Source organism: Homo sapiens, chromosome 20 (assembly GCF_000001405.40).
Source record: "Homo sapiens chromosome 20, GRCh38.p14 Primary Assembly".
Taxonomy (NCBI): domain Eukaryota; kingdom Metazoa; phylum Chordata; class Mammalia; order Primates; family Hominidae; genus Homo; species Homo sapiens.
Window position 1 is genome coordinate 40,620,917 of NC_000020.11, and position 23,382 is coordinate 40,644,298.

The window sequence follows — 23,382 nt, forward strand, 5'->3', positions numbered from 1 at the left end:
GGAAAAAATGTTAAGGGCAGCCAGAGAGAAAGGTCGGGTTACCCTCAAAGGGAAGCCCATCAGACTAACAGCGGATCTCTCGGCAGAAACCCTACAAGCCAGAAGAGAGTGGGGGCCAATATTCAACATTCTTAAAGAAAAGAATTTTCAACCCAGAAATTCATATCCAGCCAAACTAAGCTTCATAAGTGAAGGAGAAATAAAATACTTTACAGACAAGCAAATGCTGAGAGATTTTGTCACCACCAGGCCTGCCCTAAAAGAGCTCCTGAAGGAAGTGCTAAACATGGAAAGGAACAACTGGTACCAGCTGCTGCAAAATCATGCCAAAATGTAAAGACCATCGAGACTAGGAAGAAACTGCATCAACTAACGAGCAAAATAACCAGCTAACATCATAATGACAGGATCAAATTCACACATAACAATATTAACTTTAAATGTAAATGGACTAAATGCTCCAATTAAAAGACACAGACTGGCAAATTGGATAAAGAGTCAAGATCCATCAGTGTGCTGTATTCAGGAAACCCATCTCATGTGCAGAGACACACATAGGCTCAAAATAAAAGGATGGAGGAAGATCTACCAAGCAAATGGAAAACAAAAAAAGGCAGGGGTTGCAATCCTAGTCTCTGATAAAACAGACTTTAAACCAACAAAGATCAAAAGAGACAAAGAAGGCAATTACATAATGGTAAAGGGATCAATTCAACAAGAAGAGCTAACTATCCTAAATATATATACACCCAATACAGGAGCACCCAGATTCATAAAGCAAGTCCTGAGTGACCTACAAAGACACTTAGACTCCCACACATTAATAATAGGAGACTTTAACACCCCACTGTCAACATTAGACAGATCAACAAGACAGAAAGTCAACAAGGATACCCAGGAATTGAACTCAGCTCTGCACCAAGCGGACCTAATAGACATCTACAGAACTCTCCACCCCAAATCAACAGAATATACATTTTTTTCAGCACCACACCACACCTATTCCAAAATTGACCACATACTTGGAAGTAAAGCTCTCCTCAGCAAATGTAAAAGAACAGAAATTATAACAAACTATCTCCCAGACCCCAGTGCAATCAAACTAGAACTCAAGATTCAGAATCTCACTCAAAACCGCTCAACTACATGGAAACTGAACAACCTGCTCCTGAATGACTACTGGGTACATAACGAAATGAAGGCAGAAATAAAGATGTTCTTCGAAACCAACGAGAACAAAGACACAACATACCAGAATCTCTGGGACGCATTCAAAGCAGTGTGTACAGGGAAATTTATAGCACTAAATGCCCACAAGAGAAAGCAGGAAAGATCCAAAATTGACACCCTAACATCACAATTAAAAGAACTAGAAAAGCAAGAGCAAACACATTCAAAAGCTAGCAGAAGGCAAGAAATAACTAAAATCAGAGCAGAACTGAAGGAAATAGAGACACAAAAAACCCTTCAAAAAATTAATGAATCCAGGAGCTGGTTTTTTGAAAGGATCAACAAAATAGATAGACCACTAGCAAGACTAATAAAGAAAAAAAGAGAGAAGAATCAAATAGACACAATAAAAAATGATAAAGGGGATATCACCACTGATCCCACACAAATACAAACTACCATCAGAGAATACTACAAACACCTCTACGCAAATAAACTAGAAAATCTAGAAGAAATGGATAAATTCCTGGACACATACACTCTCCCAAGACTAAACCAGGAAGAAGTTGAATCTCTGAATAGACCAATAACAGGATCTGAAATTGTGGCAATAATCAATAGCTTACCAACCAAAAAGAGTCCAGGACCAGATGGATTCACAGCCGAATTCTACCAGAGGTACAAGGAGGAACTGGTACCATTTCTTCTGAAACTATTCCAATCAATAGAAAAAGAGGGAATCCTCCCTAACTCATTTTATGAGGCCAGCATCATTCTGATACCAAAGCCTGGCAGAGACACAACCAAAAAAGAGAATTTTAGACCAATATCCTTGATGAACATTGATGCAAAAATCCTCAATAAAATACTGGCAAAACGAATCCAGCAGCACATCAAAAAGCTTATACACCATGATCAAGTGGGCTTCATCCCTGGGATGCAAGACTGGTTCAATATACGCAAATCAATAAATGTAATCCAGCATATAAACAGAGCCAAAGACAAAAACCACATGATTATCTCAATAGATGCAGAAAAGGCCTTTGACAAAATTCAACAACCCTTCATGCTAAAAACTCTCAATAAATGAGGTATTGATGGGATGTATTTCAAAATAATAAGAGCTATCTATGACAAACCCACAGCCAATATCATACTGAATGGGCAAAAACTGGAAGCATTCCCTTTGAAAACTGGCACAAGACAGGGATGCCCTCTCTCACCACTCCTATTCAACATAGTGTTGGAAGTTCTGGCCAGGGCAATTAGGCAGGAGAAGGAAATAAAGCGTATTCAATTAGGAAAAGAGGAAGTCAAATTGTCCCTGTTTGCAGACGACATGATTGTATATCTAGAAAACCCCATTGTCTCAGCCCAAAATCTCCTTAAGCTGATAAGCAACTTCAGCAAAGCCTCAGGATACAAAACCAATGTACAAAAATCACAAGCATTCTTATACACCAACAACAGACAAACAGAGAGCCAAATCATGAGTGAACTCCCATTCACAATTGCTTCAAAGAATAAAATACCTAGGAATCCAACTTACAAGGGATGTGAAGGACCTCTTCAAGGAGAACTACAAACCACTGCTCAATGAAATAGAAGAGGATACAAACAAATGGAAGAACATTCCATGCTCATGGGTAGGAAGAATCAATATCGTGAAAATGGCCATACTGCCCAAGGTAATTTACAGATTCAATGCCATCCCCATCGAGCTACCAATGCCTTTCTTCACAGATTTGGAAAAAACTACTTTAAAGTTCATATGGAACCAAAAAAGAGCCCGCATCGCCAAGTCAATCCTAAGCCAAAAGAACAAAGCTGGAGGCATCACACTACCTGACTTCAAACTATACTACAAGGCTACAGTAACCAAAACAGCATGGTACTGGTACCAAAACAGAGATATAGATCAATGGAACAGAACAGAGCCCTCAGAAATAACGCCGCATATCTACAACTATCTGATCTTTGACAAACCTGAGAAAAACAAGCAATGGGGAAAGGATTACCTATTTAATAAATGGTGCTGGGAAAACTGGCTAGCCATATGTAGAAAGCTGAAACTGGATCCCTTCCTTACACCTTATACAAAAATCAATTCAAGATGGATTAAAGACTTAAACGTTAGACCTAAAACCATAAAAACCCTAGAAGAAAACCTAGGCAATACCATTCAGGACATAGGCATGGGCAAGGACTTCATGTCTAAAACACCAAAAGCAATGGCAACATAAGACAAAATTGACAAATGGGATCTAATTAAACTAAAGAGCTTCTGTACAGCAAAAGAAACTACCATCAGAGTGAACAGGCAACCTACAAAATGGGAGAAAATTTTTGCCACCTACTCATCTGACAAAGGGCTAATATCCAGAATCTACAATGAACTCAAACAAATTTACAAGAAAAAAACAACCCCATCAAAAAGTGGGCGAAGGACATGAACAGACACTTCTCAAAAGAAGATATTTATGCAGCCAAAAAACACATGAAAAAATGCTCACCATCACTGGCCATCAGAGAAATGCAAATCAAAACCACAATGAGATACCATCTCACACCAGTTAGAATGGCAATCATTAAAAAGTCAGGAAACAACAGGTGCTGGAGAGGATGTGGAGAAATAGGAACACTTTTACACTGTTGGTGGGACTGTAAACTAGTTCAACCATTGTGGAAGTCAGTGTGGCGATTCCTCAGGGATCTAGAACTAGAAATACCATTTGACCCAGCCATCCCATTACTGGGTATATACCCAAAGGACTATAAATCATGCTGCTATAAAGACACATGCACACGTATGTTTATTGCGGCACTATTCACAATAGCAAAGACTTGGAACCAACCCAAATGTCCAACAATGATAGACTGGATTAAGAAAATGTGGCACATATACACCATGGAATACTATGCAGCCATAAAAAATGATGAGTTCATGTCCTTTGTAGGGACATGGATGAAATTGGAAATCATCATTCTCAGTAAACTATTGCAAGAACAAAAAACCAAACACCGCATATTCTCACTCATAGGTGGGAATTGAACAATGAGATCACATGGACACAGGAAGGGGAACATCACACTCTGGGGACTGTTGTGGGGTGGGGGGAGGGGGGAGGGATAGCATTGGGAGATATACCTAATGCTAGATGACGAGTTAGTGGGTGCAGCGCACCAGCGTGGCGTATGTATACATATGTAACTAACCTGCACAATGTGCACATGTACCCTAAAACTTAAAGTATAATAATAAAAGAAAAAAAAAAAAAGAAGGACATCAGTCATATTGGATGAAGGCCCACAGGAAAGAAAGGCCTCATTTAATCTTAATTACCTCTTTAAAAATCCTATCTCCAAAAGCGATTACGTTCTGAGGTACTAGGGGTTTAGGGTTGCAAGAACAGGAATTTGGGGGGATACAAGTCAGCCCATAACAGCATGACATTGTCCTGGGTTTGGAACTTGTGTTCAGTATTTACTAGCTATATGATCCTCAGAAAGAAATGTCCCTTCTCTTTACCCAAAATTTATTACCATTAAAACAGGGATAATTTATTATATTTCATGATATGTATGTGGGTATATGTATATAATATTTTATCTTAAGCATTTCGTCAAGTTATTAGGTATCTCACTATAATATAAATAAGAAGTTTGAGGGCTGCATTTTTCCACTTCTGCCACTATACCAACATGTATTTAACCAATCCACTCTTAGAGTATATCAAATTGTTTCTAACTTTCTACTAACTTTCTACTCTAACTTTCTACTCTTACTTGTAGTAAGTCACAAGTCAGTTGAGTCAGTGTCAGCAAAGTCATGCTTCCTCCAGAGGTTTAGTGTAGGATCCTGCCTAGGCTCTTCCAGCTTCTGGTGGCTCCTGACATTCCTTGGCTGGTAGCAGTGTCACTCCAATGCCTGCCTCTGTCTTCACATGGTCTTCTTCCTTGGGTCTCTTTGCATCTTCTCCTTTTCTGTCTCTTAGAAGGACACCTGTGATTGGATTTAGGGCCCACCCTAATCCAGGATGATCTCACCTCAACTGTATTAGTCTATTGTTACGCTGCTGATAAAGACATACCTGAGACTGAGACTGGGTGATTTATAAAGAAAAAGAGATTTAATGGGCTCACAGTTCCATGTGGCTGAGAAGGCCTCACAATCATGGCAGAAGACAAAAGGCATGTCTTACAAAATGGCAGGCAAGAGACAGAATGAGCTTGTGCAGGGGAATTTCTCTTCATAATACCATCAGATCTCATGAGGATTATTCACTACCATGAGAATAGCAAGGAAACGCATGTCCACATGATTCAATTGCCTCCCACACACGTGGGAATTGTAGGAGCTACAATTCAAAATGAGATTTGGGTGGGGACACAGCCAAACCATAACAGTGCTATAATGAATAAGCTTGAATGTATCTTTATATCATTCATATCTCTGATATTTCCTTAGCAATAAATTCTGAGAAGCAGAATTAACTGGTCAAGGGATATGTATCTTTTAAGATTCTTTTACATCTGTTGAGAAATTCAGGAGGTAGACTCCCAACATTAGGAATAAAATTTCATTTTTCCCCATACCATGGCAAGAACTAGGGATTATCTTTTTTTTAATATATTTGTCTATTTGATGGGTGAAAATGATATCTTTTTACTTAATTTTTATTTTTTTCACCATTTCAACAATTATTTAAATTATTTCAAAAAAAAAAAGTATTTTAAAACAAGGAGAGCCTTCTGCCCTGCTGACTGGATATTTGAAATGTTCACAGAGCCCTCGGGAGTTTTGGTTCTTCATTCAAACTTTCAATTCCATAGAGTTTCTCTATCACATCTCAACTGACTTTTGTCATGCTCTCCATATATGTAGTTTTTTAAGATTGCCAACTCTATATTAGTTGCCTACAGCTTCCACAACAACTTACCCCAAAGTTGGTGGCTTAAAACAACAGAATTTTATTCTCTCATAATTCTGGAGGCCAGCAGTCCAAAATCAAGGTGCCAGCAAAGTTATGCTTCCTCCAAAGGTTCTAGTGTAGGATCCTGCCTTGGCTCTTCCAACTTCTGATGGCTCCTAACATTCCTTGGCTGGTGGCAGCATCATCCCAATGTCTGCCTCTGTCTTTACATGACCTTCTTCCTTGGGTCTCTTTGCATCTTCTCCTTTTCTGTCCCTTAGAAGGACACTTGTCATTGGATTTAGGGCCCACCCTAATCCAGGATGATCTCACCTCAAGCTCCTTACCTTAATTATAGCTGCAAACATCTCATTTCCAAATAAGGTCACATTCACAGGTTCCAGGGGCTAGGACTGGACATATCCCTTAGGGAACAGTTTTCAGTCCATTATGCCTCCAGAGCCCGGCTCCTTTGAAGTTCCCCATGGAGTCAGTTCACTTCCATTCCATTAGCTGAATGGTGAGTGCTACTGCCCCCACTATTTGGTTTCTCTTGACACATGAGAAAGCAAATAGTAATGGCTACAACTAAATAAAGGAATTGTTTGTCTTGTTTCTATAATGTCATGTGAAGAGTTTCACTTTTTTTTCATATACAATGAACATTTGTTGCAATGCATAGGACAGTCTACTGACTTAGGGTGAGCAGGGGGGCAGAGAGGAGCAGGTGTCACATGTTGAACACACAATGCCCCCATCAAAAACCTCCGTTAAAAAACTCAGATTCTATGAGGGAAAGAATGACAAAAATAAAACGATTTCAATATAAACTGAACATTGATGAGAAATATAAGCCAAACATCCTAGGGCATCTAAGAAAGGAGTGTGCTATTCTGCCTGAGAAAAGCCAGGAGGGAGGAGACACTGGACGTGGACAAGGAGGGATGATCATTGATCCATCCAGTGGCTCAGGAGGGAAGGGCATTCCAGGCAGAGGGAACAGTGTGTTCTAGGCATAGACTCAGAAGTGTGCATGGGAAGTTTATTGAGGAGGTGGGATGTCCAACATACCCAGAGTGCAAAGCAGCAGTAGGGCCATACGCAGAGTATCCCAATTAGAAAGTCTTATTGAAAGAAAATAAGATAAATTTGTGAATAACACAAAATGAGGTACAGTTCCGAGTCCCCCACCAAAATGCCGATCTCTCCCTCAGTAAAGGCCAGACATAAAAGGGTACTGCATGATTCCATTTAAGTGACGTTTCTAGAACAATCCAAATCTATAGTGATTAAAAAAAAAAAAAAAAGCAAGTTAGTGCTTGTCTGGGGCAAAGTGTGCAGGGAGGTTGCGTGTAAAGAGACAGGAAGGAGTGGTCCGGGTGACAGAAATGTTCTATGCTTTGATTGCAGTGATGGTTACCCAAGTATATACATTTGTCAAAACTCACAAACAGTCCCCTTAGGTGTGTGGATTTCATTGTATATTTATACCTCAATAAAGATGATTTTTAAAAATGTAGGAGCAAAAGGGAATATTCACTTAGAATGAGAAAAGAAATTACAACTAATTATAAATTTTGTCAATAAAAAGCTGAATAGTACCAGAAACATCTCAGCCATTCAGAAAAATAGCCATTTTGTGCATTAATGAACTGCCGACCTACTTTGATAACATTGTTTTTCCTACTTGTTTTGGCTTCATTCTCTTTGTCTCTTCCCATGTCAGTAGTAGTATAACAAGTTTTATAATATTAATGGTTGATCAGTTTGACTTTTATTACTGATAATTTAGAAAATGTCTCTCCACTTCCTAACTCTTTGTTCATATCCTTTGTATTTTTTAAGGATTGTCACAAAGTTTGGCAAAACCTCCATGAATTTTTTTCGTATTTGAGCTCTGGAACTTGTAAGGATTGTCCACAGACTAGCTTCCAGCTCTGTACATTTCAAACTTGGTTTCTCCGCCATACTTTGGGCACCACAGAACACGTTCACGTCGTGAAACAGCCTCTGGCCCCAAACCTTCACTTGGCAACATTCACACATCACATGTGAGTCGGCACAGTAGGTGGTACCAGTGTCCTTGGAAGCAGATTTCGACACTGGGATGATTAGCAATTACTTACCCGTATATGGAAGCGACTGCAAATCACACAGCTATAAGCCCAAACTAAGTGTATCCCCAACTCAGTATCTTCTTAGCCAGATTCCCAAAGTCCTTGGGACCGCTCTAACAGTACAGAAGAGACAGAGGAATGGTACAAATATCAGAGAAGAAGAGAGAGTGGCCTTAACCTATATCAGTTTAAATATCTTATTTTCACAAATTTGGCAGAACCACATGGCCATGGGAATACATTGCTAGGACTGCTAGCAAGGACTCTAAAGCTGAAAAACCTCAGGGGCTGCTCAGTGAGGCTGCCTCAGGGCAGTGGCTGCCGTGGGTAGTTTTGGGAAAGTGGTCGGGACCAGATTTGGAGAGCTTTCAGTCAGGTGCTGAAATACAGCCTTTAACCTCCAGGCAGAGGGGCTTTTCCTTTAACGAAGAGAACAGAATCACTTTGTGTTGGTGGGGGAACTCTGGCAGCCATGGAAAGGGTTGCTTCAGGGTTTACTGTTTGTTTGTTTTAGTTTCTTCTTTTAACTCACAGCATTTCTTATGCAACCCCCCTCAAAATAAAAATACCTTTTCTATTTAAGTGTCTTTAAATTAAGAAAACTGTATTAAATACATTAAAGATAATTTTGAAAAAAGCCCAGAACTCCCCCCTACCGCGGCCAACCAATTTCACCAAGCTAAACTTGTTTAAGTCACTTAATTATCTAAGTGAACAAAGTGGTTCAGAACATACACTGCAAAGTAAAATTCCTCACTTCAAAATTTGGCACCACCGCTTCCTAACTCTGTGACTCTAGGCAAATTATCTAAGCTCTGCAACCTCAGTTTCCTCATCTGTAAAACAGAAAAAACAATAGAAGCTAAGTGTAGAGTCACTGTGCAGATGAAATGAGCTGATTCACTGGGAGCACAGGGCACCATTTCTGACTCAATCAATGTTAGCAGTGATGAATATTTCTGTCTACCCCTTCCCCAGGCAGATATGTTTTATTGAGTCTCCACCTCTGCAGGCTCTTTTTCATGATTCTTTATCATTATGCCAACCATTAAAATATTCAGGGCCAAGCGAAACATTTCAACTAAAAACAGCTAGTTGAATGCGTTGTGTGGCCCGTTTCCTGAGAGCACTTGAGGGGAGTCGTAGGGTGTCGGAGAAATTAGTCACTGAGAAGGGACACAGAAAGAGGGAAGCCAAGACAAACTGTGTTAGTCAGGACTCTTTGGGTTTCAATAGAAAAAAGCCCAACTCAAACATATTTAAGAATAAAAAGGCAAGATTGGCAGAGCATGGAGGCTCACGACTGCAATCCCGCACTTTGGGAGGCCAAGGCAGGCAGATCCCTTGAGGTCAGGAGATTGAGACCAGCCTGCCCAACATAGCTAAACCCTGTTTCTACTAAAAACACAAAAATTAGCTAGGCATGGTGGAGGGCGCCTGTAGTCCCAGCTACTCGGGAGGCTGAGGCAGGAGAATTGCTTGAATCCCAGAGGCAGAGGTTGCAGTGAGCTGAGATCGCACGACTGCACTCCAGCCTGGGCCACAGAATGAGACTCTGTTTCAAAAAAAATTTTTTTAAAGACAGTATTGTCCCCTACGACAGAAGGGAAATGGGGTAATGGTACTGCATGCTTATCTGGATCAAGGAGCTCAAATAATATTGTCAGGCATCTCCACTTTCTCTCAGCTTTGTGTCCCTCTGTACATTTCCTCATTTTCTCCTCTAGCTATCGTGATGCAGAGGGCAGTGGGCATGTCCCCAGACAACCCCAGGCTGACATCATTGCTGTTTAGCATCAACCAAGGGAAGAGCTCGTCAGCTTGCCTCATGTGGCCACAGATGGTAGGATATTGTCCTTGGCAACCTCACCAGAACCCTAAGAAGGGAAGGGTGAGGTGATATTCCCAAGAGAAAGGGTGAAGGGATGCAAAACAGACAGAGAGATGCCACTTGACAAGGGTTCTCATGGCCAAGGTCAGCCATTGCATCTTCAATCACAATTTCCATTTCAAGACTCATTTCCCACCCACAGGGTGTGGGCTTCTTGGAGGCCTCAAATGGTGGGAGTCTGTCACCCACATGGACTCTGCAGCAAGCCGCCACCTGCTTCTTCATAAGAGGCAAACTCGCTCAGAGGCCTGGGCTGCGGCTGTGGGCGCCCAGTCAGGCACTGGGCATTCTTGGGCCTGGGCAGTTGCTGAGTCAAAGGGCCGAGGGCCAAGGCACGGGCTGCCCTATCCTGCTCCCCTCAGATGGGTGGTACTGAATGTTCTCCAGGCGATGCAGGGCTGCTGTGCTACTTTAATTGGAGACGGTGATGGTGAAACCTTCAGGGGAAATTCAGGTGCCAAATGCCTCTCCTAGAGGCGCATTAAAAGTGTCTAGTAGTTGACCAACCCAAATAGCAGGCATCTCTGGGGAATTTCCCAGCAGGGGCCTCGCCCTATCACCTCCTCCCACCTCCCAGCACAGGAGAAAGAATCCTGCCATCCAGACACACCTGGCTCTGCCTCCGCCCCTTCCAACCTGCAGATTCTTAAGCAATTTTCTTCACCTCTCTAGGCCTCAATTTCCTTATTCATAAAATAGGAATTATACTATTTTGTCTGGAATAATAAGATAATGGCCATAGATCTATTTGAATTGTTTATTTTTACTTAAGTCAGTTTTGGCAAATTATATTTTTCCTAGAAGCATTCCCTTCATAAAGATGTCCAATGTTTTGGTGACCAGGCACAGTGGCTCACACCTGTAATCCCAACACTTTGGGAGGCCGAAGTGGGCAGATCACATGAGGTCAGGAGTTCAAGACCAGCCTGACCAACACTGTAAAACCCTGTCTCTACTAACAATACAAAAATTAGCTGGGCGTGGTGGCACATGCCTGTAATCCCAGCTACTCAGGAGGCTGAGGCAGGAGAATTGCTTGAACCCGGGAGGCAGAGGTTGCAGTGAGCCAAGATCACGCCACTGCACTCTAGCCTGGGCAACAGAGTGAGACTCCATCTCAGAAAAAAAAAAAAAAATGTATGTCCAATGTTTTGGTATAAAATTATTCACCTATCGTTTTGTTATTTGTAATGTCTGTCTGCTGTATATGTAGCGAGACTTTCCTTTTCATTTCTAGCTTTTTTTGTAGAGTCCATTTGGGTTTGTTGAACCTCCCTAACAGGCCTTATGTTTGTATTATTAACTTTTGCTCTTATTTTGTTATTTCCTTCCTATGTTCTAAACCTTTCTGGGGTTTAGTCTATTATTCTGTTCCTATCTGACAGTGGTAGCCGGTAATCAACCGGATTGGTCACACACGCAGTGCCCTACAAGTTTTGTCACCCTATGTCACGTTGTGTCCCACATGGTCTTCTTTAGTACTCCCAACGACCCTTAGCTCTGAACTCGTCAACAGCCTGTCTGGTCTTAGATCCATTTGGCACCCTTCCTCTGACCTCCTGTGGGATCTACGCTCCCCAGGGTCCCTTGTCCTCCGGCATCAGGGTAATTTTAACCAATGGGAAGCATGTGAGCAAGACTACAAGGGAGAAGCCAGGATATGTTTCTCCCTTCCCCTCTGCTCCTAGTGACATCTCTGGCAGTAATTACTGCTATGGTGCCACACCCACGGGGCAAAAACCAACATGGTCTTAGCTTCTGCCAATGGCCAGACTCCTAGAATCTGATAACAATACCTCCTCCCATTGTTCCTGCAGCCCTAAGGGGGCAGGTGCAGCTTCCGGCTCTTACTAAAATCTGAATTGCCTCTCAGTGTCTTCAGTCATTTGTGTGACTAACTCCCTGTATTAAATTTTCTTTGTTTGAAAAACCTTGAGCAATTCCCATTTCTTGGCTGGCAATTGATGAATACAAACCCTTTTTATAGGTGAACCCTAAAGTGAGGTTCAGAGAATTTAAGAGAGAAGATATAGAAATATGAGTACTCAACCAAAAAAAAGAAAGAAAAAAGAAATGCCAGTAATGAAAACACCAGCACAGAGCCTGAGCTCAGGTCTAACTCTGATATTTTCTAGCTGTGAGATCTTCTGAGCCTCTGTTTTCCCATATGCAGATGTGGATGGTGACTACACCTACTGCATAGGACTGTTGTGAAGATGAATGCAGCCACTATTTCTGACATTTAACTAAGCAAAAAGCCTGGCACATGGCCACACAGCTAAACATTGGCTGAACTGGGATCCAAATTTCCTATTTGGTGCTTATTACCCTGTGCCAAGCAGCCTGAATCAAGTTGCTGATGATTTTAGTTCTCATGAAGGGACTTCCTGTCTTAACCTTGTGGACTGGATCCTTTCCTCAGAGATTCTCCCCCTAAGAACTCCCTTCCCTCCTCCCCCCACCGTCTCCGCCACATGAAATGATCTCCTCTCTTCCCCCACTGAATAACTGCAAGTGGCTCTCAAGCTGATTTGTCCTCCCAACTTCCCATAAGGAACCAGATCACTAGGCATAGCTGCAGGGTATAACTCAGCCTCAGCCTCCCTGAAAGCCAGCACCAAGGAGGGCTATCAGAGACCCCAACACATGGCCCAAGGCCCCTGTGCCCAAGAGCCCCCTGAACCTGCTCGGAGGTGTAATTAAGTGAACTTTGAAAGCAGCCCTCCCACTGTGGGCTCACAAACCCCAAGGAACCCGGTCTCTAATATCCCTGTGAAAGTCAGCCTAGCCATTCACCAAGGAGGAAGAGACTGCAGCCTGTGAGCGTAGAGTCTGGAATCCTACCCTGGCTTTATTTGGGACACTTTGGGCCCAAAGACTCTGATTTTGGTGTCTATTGAGTCACATCTCTACTTCCCTCCTTTGGGAGAAATACGTCCTTGCTTATCAGTGCTGAAGCCTCTACCGCTTACTATCAGTTTCGAGGATGAACCTCTGGGATCCAACAGAGACTTAGACTCAAGAAGGGAGGGTTAAGCTGGTGCAATACTCACCCATCTAAAGCCAGGGCATCATGGAGTACATCCTGGAGTAGCTGCCTTCTCAATACACCCCCATTTGGGGGCTCCTAGATGGTTTGCTCTCGTAGGCATGCCTTGGCCCCCAAAAGTTAGATTCTCAGTGCATGCATGTGGTCACTGACATGGTCATTCATTCATTCAACAAAACTGCCATGATTCCAGCATCATGTGCCCTCTAGACAGAAGAAACACTGCCCCATCCCTGTCGGGGGCTACACATACAAAGAAACAAAGCAGCCTTGAATCCACCCTTTTATGAGCTGAGTGATTTTCATTATTTCTTGCATTTTAGAATTATTTTAAACATTACCTCCTCTTAGGATGCCCATGATGTCAGAACCATGGCAGTTTTGATGAATGAATCAATAATAAGGGAATATTATTAGAAAGCTAATAATGTCCCTTAACTTTCAGAGGTACCCTTATGTTAATAATCAGGTATAGTCTTATGTATTTTGTCCTATATTTATAAAACATAGATACGGCTTGAGGTTTGGAGAAGTAGGTTGTTTTATTTTGGTTTTGGTTTAGTTTTTTGTTTTGTTTTACGAAAATGAGATTATGCTATATAAATTTCTTGGCAAGTTGCTTATCTCAGTCATCAGACCACAGCTATCACTTCAGATCAATCCACTTATATTTGATTCATTTCATAGCTGTATCCTATGTCATATCACACCATATTCAGTCATTCCCCTGTAAGGAAGTGGGAAATACATGCTCACAGCGTTAAGCCATTGCCGTTTTGTTGCAGGATCTAGATTACCCTAATCCAGTGGTTCTCAAAGTGTGGTTCCCACAGAAGCAGCATCAGCATCATCTAGGAAATTGTTAGAAATGCAAATTTGGGGGTCTGTCCCAGAACTACCACATCTTAAACTCTGGGGTGGGTCACGGAAATCTGTGTTCTGGCGTTCTACAGGTGATTCTTGAACACATGTTAAAGTTTGAGAACCACTGCCCTAACCTGTACCATGTCATTCATCTTCCACGAGGACTATGTCCATTTGTTTGCCCTCCACAAACAATTGCAGCAATTACAGCTGGATGCCAGCTTCTTTGCAGAAAATATTTTCTCAAGCTGGAAAAATACAAGAAGTTTCTAGATAAGCAAACTTAGATGAGGACAAGCTAGCTACCCAGTTGCTAATTAACTCATTAATTCACTCTTTCAGGATGTATTGAATTTATAGTCACAGGCATAATGCAAACATATGCCCCTGTGTAACATATTTGGGGAAATGTGACAAGCAGATTTTTCTCAAATGATCTGGATGCCTGATGTGATTCTTCCTTAGGTGCAAAGAGGTTGCAATTGGTGAGTTCTGTTTGCAAAAGACCAACCACCTGGAAATGCAAGCGTGGAAGCCATGAGAGTGCCAAAAAATGTGGAAGATGGAGGCAGAGAGAACCAGACTTGAATCCTGGCCCCACCTCTCACCCACACTCCCTGAACCTCAAGTTTTGCATCTATAAAACTGTGGTGATAATAAAACCTACCTATAGGGCTGTTGATCCAAACTGTATTTTGTAGCTCCTCCAGGGAAGTTTTCCAGTCAACCTAATGCTTCTCTATGGCTGTTCAGGGAATGAAAAAATGAGGAAGGAATTAATGAATTATTTCATGAGAATGCCATTTTCCTCTGCTTCTTTCATGTTAAGAATTATATAGAGCATGTGCCACTGCTGTCTTCTTCATGAAACCCCCTGAGAGGCAAGGGTGGGGTGGAAGGTGAGGATGGCCATGGGAGTAAGCAGTAAAGCTCCTGAGCCGTCATGAGCCTGGCTGTCCATTCAGGAGCTATGAATGGAATGGTAACTAAGAGGAGCAGGGTGTTTCAAGCTTGAGCATGCATTAGATTCCCCTGGAAGTTTTTTAAAGCACAGATGACTGAGCCCCACCCCAGAGTTTTCAGATTAAGTAGATCTAGGGTGGTGCCTGAGATTTTTCATCTCTAACACATTCCCAGACAATGCTGATGCTGCTGGTCTGGGGATCACACTTTGAGAACCACTGGGTTAGGTCAATGACCCAGGCTGATGAAGTCTCCACCATAATCAACACTTGGTTTCTAAGATTACACTGAGTGTTGACATCCCACTGGCAGGAGAGCAAACAAATGAAGAAACTCCACCTTCTTCTTAAGCTCCCTGGCCAGAAAGTGATGCACATTCCTTCCACTCACATGTCATAGGCCCCACCTTTGCAAAAGGACCTGGGAAATTTAGTCCTTGGATGGGCTCCTTCTTAGTAAGCCACTTTCTTCCCAGGCATGCAAAGGGGTCACAGATCACTTAGTGTTGAGCCACTGCCACTGCCGTACATGACAAGTCATCACCTCATCTCCAAATCTTGGGCCTTGCCACCAAGATGTGGGTTAGCCCAGCCACAACCTCAATTCAGATTCCGAGAGCTAAAAATGTACTGTGAACAGAACATGCTCTGGAAGTCATGGGAGAAGGGGAAGCAGGACCTATGGAAAGATGGATACCTGGGCCTCATCTTCCTTAGACTGCTTCTCAATGACACAAGTCCATGAATGTCTCCACTCCCACTGAGGGCACAGTGTGTACAGTGGAACCATGGACTTGCAGTCGGATGGAAGAGCCATCACTCACCAGCTGTGTAACTTTAGGCCTCTCTGCCCCTGGTAGGTATTGCTGGTTGACATAGGGCAGCACCCAGATTGTAGCTCCTCCACTTCCTGCCAGGCCTCCTCCTCCAGCCTCCTCAACTCCTGGCCATGAATGTGTGCAGCAATGTGACAATAGCCATCACTTCTCCAGCAGGTTACTCACATCATCAAAGTTGGGGAGTTCGAGGAGATAAGAGACCTATGCAGATTCAATGCCTCCTTATATAATCCAGCTCACATTCTGCTTTGCCCTTGCCCTACAGTTCCTGTCAATCCTTCCTTCCCCACCTGCTTGTTCTGTTGACTGTAGGCCCAGACACCGAAGCAATGGCCCCCTGTAGATGGTTGAACCAGCTTCCACAACTGCACAGGATCAAACCCTCATAAGAAAGCCCTCAGTTTATGCCATTCTTAGTGGTTTTGCTTCTCTGGCTGAATCATGACTGATACGGGTGCTTTTCTTCCAACATTCTCATTTAATTTTCTGAACAACTCCACAAGAACATTCTTGTTAGTCTTATTTTAGAGATGAGCAAAGTGAGAATCAGAGAGGCTAAGTCACCTGTCTGAGATTCCACAGCTAGTGAGTGGTGTTGGGGCTGAGACTTGAACCCGGGCCTCTCAAACACCAGTACTTTGACCACTATGGTATTTTGTGAGCTCCTTCAGAAGAAAACTGGGCCCCATGAGATGGTCAACGCAATATCAGGTTTTCCCCTGTGTCCATGCCAGGATCCTGCTCCTCTGTGCCCCCAACAAAGGCTCATCCACTGTGACACGGGAAGAGGCTTCCTTGACAAGGGCCTGTTGTCTGCAGAGTGGCCACTATTTTCTCTCCCCTGTTTCCCCTCTAGCTCTGGCCAGAGGTTCCCAGTGGGTTGATTATCCCATTTTTATTACAAATCAATAGGAAAAGGAGAAAAGCTTTCTGAGAAGATTCTAAGCCTAATTAAAAACCCAGGAGAGGGCTGGACATGATGGCTCATGCCTATAATCCCAGCACTTTGGGAGGCCGAGGCAGGCAGATCACCTGATGTCAGGAGTTCAAGACCAACCTGGCCAAGATGGTGAAATCCCGCCTCTACTAAAAACACAAAAATTAGCCAGGCATGGTGGCAGGTGCCTATAATCCCAGCTTCTAGGGAGGCTGAGGCAGGAGAATTGCTTGAACCCAGGAAGCAGAGGTTGCAGTGAGCCAAGATCGCACCACTGCACTCCAGCCTGGGCGGTAGAGCAAGACTCCATCTCAAAAAAAAACACAAACCCAGGAGAGAACATCCCTCAAAACTATTCTGCTCTTGTGTAAAGACACATATGATAGGAGAGACGGTGCAGAAGAAAGAAACAGGCTTCCATTGCGAGGTGTGGAGACCTGCCCATGAGAGAGGCAAAGAAAGGCAGAAAAGAAAACAGATGAAAATGGAGAAAATGACAGAGGAAAGGGGGAGGGGGAACCACCAAAAACAGCAAGCGGGAAGTAACCTAGATATAAAGGAGGGAGAGAAAGGGAACAAGACATAAAATGAGAAAGAATCAGAGACAAAGAAAAATAGAAACAGAGAATAAATGGGAGAAATAGGTATAGAAGAAGAGAAAAAGATGGATGAAAGAGGTGAGAATAGAAGGGAGAGTCAGAATGAGAGAGACAGAGAAAGGGAAAGACAGACAGAGAGAGAGAGAGGTGACTGCCAGGTTCCTACATAATTAACTTTCTCCCTTGGTCCCAAGTTTTTGGGGGGAGACCAGAGTGGAACCCAAGACAGCTGGTGGGGAAGGGAGGCACCCTGGCCACTGCCCCCATTGTGCTGGACAGTGGCCACACTTGACACAGCAGCAGGAGATAGACATCTGCCTCTGAGTCAGCTCCTTTCTTCACAGCCCCACCTGCCCCACCTTTTGGGCTAATGTTGCAGAGTTAATTACAGAAAGCCTGCCAGACTGGGGATATATGAGCCTCAGGAGAGCCTGGTTCTGAAGGCGGAGGGAAGAGGGGAGGGAGAGGACGGTCAGGGTCACCTACTGAGCTGGGCACTGAAGGTTTCTACTACCTGGAATGGTCCCTAAGCACCCACAGGCAAAAGGTGTCTGAGGCCCAAGGAAATAAGGGGAGGTCTGTCGGGGCTAATGCCTAAGCCACAAAGCCAATTCTTCCATTATGGATTTAGACAGCTTTCCCACACTTCTACCTATCCCTATAACTTTCCCCAGAGGGTTTTGCCAGTCTGCCATTTTTTTCTGCCCCTTTACCACCTCCTCTCCCCATCTGCCAATCCTTTCTCCTATCTGACATCTCCTCCTGTATCTACCGTCTTCCATTTACCCACCTCCACCCATCCATCTAAACTTTCACCCACCGGAAGCTCCAAAATCCCACTCCTCATCCTTCTACCAACTGCCTACCCACCTGCCAAACACTCTTCCATCGATTCATGTTTCTTTATAGGCCAACTTTTCCACCCTTCCTCTAACTCCTTCAACCTCCACAGAACCTTCAGTCACCACCATTTCCACTATCCACATGCCAATCCTTCCATCCATGAATCAGCCCCTGTATTTCCCAGCTCCTCTCCATCTGACCTTCTCTCTATCCATGCACCATTCTCCACTTATCTTCCAAACTCCTTCATCCATCCACCAATCCCTCCACCCATCTGCCAACTTGTCCATACATTTGTCAACCCCTCCCCCTTCCTCCAACTCTTCACCTACCATCCCTTCTTTTTCCAAATCCTCCATCCAACCACCAAAATTTCCAACCCCTCTCTACATTTACTTCCACCCTCATCAATTCCTACATTCACATGCTAACCCATCCCTTCAGGGAGCCATGCTCCCTTCCATTTATACATACAATTCCATGTCTAATCCACCAATACCTAACCCCATCTACCATCTCATTCATCTGTCCATTCAGCAACCCTTCCATTCCATTCCAATATGTCAACCTCTTCCTACACTGTCAACTCCTCCCTCCTTCCATCCTTCAATCCCCCAACACTCCAACAATCTCTTAATGCACCCACTGACTTCACAAAGGCCCCAACCCAGCCCTCAGGGAAGTTCTGTAAAAAGAAAATGGTTTTGCAGAACTGCAGAGCTGGGATATAATCTTGGTTTGGAACACACTGGCAGCATGGCTCAATTCAGTGCTCCCTGGCCTAGTCACAGCTTTGGGAAGGTCCTCAAGGCCATTGAGGAAGCTGGACAGAGTAGAAAGGGAAGTAGGGGAAAGGTTCTCTCACCTCTGTTAAGGACGCTGGTAAAGTTAATTACAGCCAGCTCCTCACCCCTCTCCACCCACCCCAACTAACTGGACAGTACAGAGGGAGGCTCACCCCCCTGATTTCTGCCCTGACCTGTTCTGCCTGCCCTAATGGACACAACCAGGCCACAGTCCCCTCCTCTGCCTAAACCCCGGGGTTTTGAGCCAACTCCAAAGACCCTGACCAGCCAAAGCCATGTTGAACCAAGGCCTGAGCAGATTCACCAGGCTGAGGTTGCAGGTGGCCCCCAGCACCACAGTGGCCTACTCAGTCTATATGGTCCCATCTCTTAAATACCAGAAAACCTCTTGACTACTTATGAGTCAGTTTAGACCCAGGCCAGGTAGATTCCAGGTAACACAGAGAGGTAGAAACTGCATCAAACCTAGATGTAGGTTATGGAATCAGCAAGACCTGGGTTTGTATTCTTCTTGTACTTCCTGGCTGTGTCACTTAATATCTCTGAGCCACAGTGTCCTTGTTTGTAAAATGAAGGTCAGAAAGCTCCTACCTACTGCATGGGATTATAATTTTAAAATATACATACATTGGGATAGAGCTTGAAACACAGTAGTCCCCCATCGAGAGATGCCTTCACCTCACTTGGACTGGCTCTGGTGGCTAAGTCCTGGTCTTCTCTGTACATCAGGGAAAACAGGACAAATTGACATTCTTAGACCAGGTTGCCTGTGCTGCAAAACTAAGCCTTCTCCCCGAAAAACCCCCTTTATAAGAATTTCCACAAAAACAAAAACGAAAGCCTCTGTTTTTTAGGTACTTTTAAATGCCTGGAAAATTTTGCAATGGGGTAAAACTTGGCCAGAAAGAGAAACAAATTTTTTTTTTGCAAATCTCAGCCCTACCTTTTGGCCTAGGTTGGCCCCTTGCCAAAAATGTGAGATGACAGGTGAATGTGTGAGTTTCTGTGACTTGGGTTTCCAAAATGGCATTCAACAAGTGATCTGCCTAATTGCTTTTGATATCTAGAAAAGCTAATTAAGGTAATAATACTTGGCACTTGTATAATAATAAAAATAATGACCCTTTGTATGTAAGGAGCATCTTTCATCCAAGGATTACAAAGCCTTTACAAACATTAATTAATCCTCACAACTCACCTGTGAGGTGGGTGTAATTAGACCCAATTTATGGCTGGATGAATTGAGGCATGGATGGGGTGAGGGATGTGGGGAAGATCACACGCTGCATCTGCTGCCAAGACTGGGATGGCCCTGAAGATTCTAGAAGCTGTACTCGGAATTCTCACATCTGTCTGGTAGAATCCCTCTAAGCTGTCCCAAGGAACACCCCCATGAGTCAAAGTTCTCTCTTGACCAGCCACGGAGAAAAGCAGAACACTAGGACCTCATCTGGCTGGGTGACCTTCAGCTAGTTCCTTCCCCTCTCTGAGCCTTTACTTCCTTCCCCATTAGCCAAGATGACTGGGTTCCATGACACCTCACCTCCCCAGTGTTCAGCCCCACAAGCTTGTCATCCTGTTTCTTGCATCACTGGCAGGTTTTCAGGGCCTTGAAGCCACCAACAAAGACCCAGGTTCAGCCAGCATCCCTGGGCAGTTAGGTTGCCAGATTTAGCAAAGAATAATACAAGCCACTGAGTTAGAACTTTTGAATTTCTGAAATTTTTGAATTTCAGAAAAACAATGAAGAATTTTTCAGTATAAGCATGTCTCGTGCAATATTTGGAACATGGTTATACTAAAACATGGTTTGTTATTTATCTGAAATTCAACTTTAACTGGGTGTCCTGCGTTTTGTCCAACAACCCTGCTTGTTAGCCACTCTGTGCCAGGCACAGGCTGAATTTCTCACATCTCTGATCTCAGGTAATCCTTCCCCTACTCTGGGAGGCAGGCATTATCACTCCCATTTTGCCACGAAAACTAGTCTAGAGAAGAAAAGCGGCCTGCCCAGAGTCCTGAATTCCTCACCTACCTGGGTCTCCCTGGAGTCTCCACTGACACCCCCAGTGATTGATTCCCCAGTGCCCAGAGACCAAAGTCCACACTCCCTGAGGACAGCCCTTCCAGGCCCTGCAAATCTGCCCCTAAAGTCCTCTCTAGCTTCATGTCAGCCCAAGGGTCCCATCACAGGCATATGCAATAGATTCAGTGTAATTAGTGGTGCCCAGCACCCACACTTCCTTCCGTCAGGCCTCCAGGCCTTTGCCTCTGCCGGTCCAACCACCTGGAATGCTGTTCCTCCATCTTCTCCTGCAAAATGCCTGCAGGTCTGCAGGATACTGTCCAGTGTCACCTCCTCAGAGATGCCTTCCCTGGCCAAACACTCGTTCTGCTGTGTTAACCTCTGTGCTGCCACATTCCCCAGCATGCTTGCATGCATGTGTGTGTGTGTGTGCATTCACGCGTGCATTTGTGTGTGCGTGTGTGTGCATGTGTGTACTGTGTGTGAGTGTGTGTGTGTTTGTGTGTGCGTATTTTCTCTGTGCTCCACCCTCCCATCACCAGTACACCTAGGGTTGTTTCTTGGCCCCATGCCTCAGCATACACTATTTCCTCTTCCTGGAATCATCCTCCAAAATTAAGTCATTCATTCATTCAATTGATACTTATTAAGCACTTGCTATGTGTTGAGCTTATCCTTCCTGCCCTTATGAAATCAACAGTCTAGTGCAGGGGTCAGCAAATTTTTGTCTGTAAAGAGACAGATCGTAAATAGTTAGGCTTTGCAGGCCATAGGGTCTGTGTCACAACTACTCCACTCTGCTGTTGTAGTGTGGGTGCAGTCATAGACGGTATTAGCTGGGTATGGCTGTGTTCCCATAAAACTTTATTTACAAAAAAAGGCAGTAGGCCACATTTGGCCTATTGATTCTAGTTCACCAACTCCTGGTCTGTTCAAAACGGACATTGAGCAAATATCACACAAATGCCGGATTTAACAAATTTCTTCAATCCTGTGAAGGCGAAGATTCTACTCAAACTCTCCCCACTCTGTGAGATCTTTTAGCAGTGGCCTCTTCCTCTGTGCTTTCAGAGCTCCTGAGTTTAGGGGGCTCATGTGTGGTCATTCAAGGCAGGGACCACCTTTCCAACCAGATGCCTTAAGACCCACTGCTGATGCTGCACCTACTCCTGCCTGAGGTGTCCCTCTGGGGCCAGATGGGGCTGGGCTGGGGTGGACCTTGTTTAGGACCCCTCCCTAGCAGAAGGGAAGTTCTGCTCACCCCTCATCCTTAAAGATGATCCTCCTGCCACTCCTTCCAATAACTTGTCTCCAATTATAACCCAGGGTGAGCCAAACTGGGCATCTTATTTAATAGAGAGTGACTGTGCTCGTATATTTGAGTTAGAAGCGTCACATTTTCCTTCTTGGCAAGAAGGAAACATAAAACCCTCTCCAGAGACCCCAGGGCCAAAAGAAGGGACAGATGTTTCCAGCATCATGGCTTTGTGTCCCCTCCTTCGGTGGTTCCATCTTGCTAGGCTCCAAAACTGTTTTTCAGGATGTGCACCCCGCCCCAACACACACATACATATGTTAAAATCAGGCCCCCTATGCATTCATACACATGTGTTCAGCACACAGGCTTACATACACCTCAGGTAGATGTATGTTTACATATATAAGCACACATGGACACACACAAATTCCTGCTTCACACATATACCAAGAGTATTCACAACAAGGCAGACAAATTTGGGCACAAAAACAGATTCATCTAGAGACACACAAACCCCGAATTTTTGCCCCACAGCTACTATACATGTGTGCATGCACACACACACTATGCACATGTATGTGCACATGCCCACACTATGCACATGTGAGCACGCACACACATGCACACATGCTATGCATGTATATACAGTGAAATCCAATCCCGCTACGTCTTGCAGGGGGAACAGGCCGTGAAAATCACATCTTTGCATTTCTGGCCTACCAGTTCCGTCTGGGTTCCTGCTGCCAGTCTCAGCTCCGGGGAGGGACACAGGAAATTCCCATTTCCCTGACTGCCAAATCTCAGCCACCTCTGACCCTTAGAAAGACAGAAACTCCTCCAGCTTCCTGTGAGCCATTCCTGCTGTGTGCCCAACACTCCTAGCCAACGTGTGGCCTGAGGAGATAATGCGAGGCTTAGTGTCCAGCCCCATGTGTGGCTCCTGCAGTCAAGGCAGCTTCCTTGGCCTCCCCTTGGGGTCAGGGCCTGGCATGCTAGGGGCCTCCAGGGAAGGGCCTTGGACTGCACCCAAGGTCAAATGCCCTCTTTATCTGAAGGACGCTGACCACTTTCCTGCCCTGCTTCCCTCTGCTTCCAACATTTCTAGCAG

General features: G+C 44.1%; 1 long non-coding RNA gene across 2 annotated transcripts in view, besides 1 other annotated feature; it reads right to left on the reverse strand.

Annotated features, from left to right (window-relative positions):
* LOC102724968 (uncharacterized) overlaps positions 1-23,174 on the reverse strand; it is a 75,521-nt gene extending 52,347 nt beyond the window's left edge. Inside the window, exons 1-3 of one of the 2 annotated variants that reach the window (XR_001754596.2) lie at positions 20,189-20,262; positions 19,618-19,708; positions 14,672-14,749 (exon numbers count right to left, since the gene is read on the reverse strand). This is a non-coding gene — a long non-coding RNA (uncharacterized LOC102724968). Of the gene's footprint in view, positions 1-14,671; positions 14,750-19,617; positions 19,709-20,188; positions 20,263-22,994 lie in introns of those variants that run through there. The other variant, XR_001754597.1, reaches the window with a different exon arrangement.
* Positions 22,963-23,112: a silencer, noted in NCBI's record as "fragment chr20:39272519-39272668 (GRCh37/hg19 assembly coordinates)". NCBI's record gives its function as "represses an EF-1alpha promoter that drives an FKBP-Casp9 reporter gene in an ReSE screen in HepG2 liver carcinoma cells {active_cell/tissue: HepG2}" and the evidence as "EXISTENCE:reporter gene assay evidence [ECO:0000049][PMID:32094911]".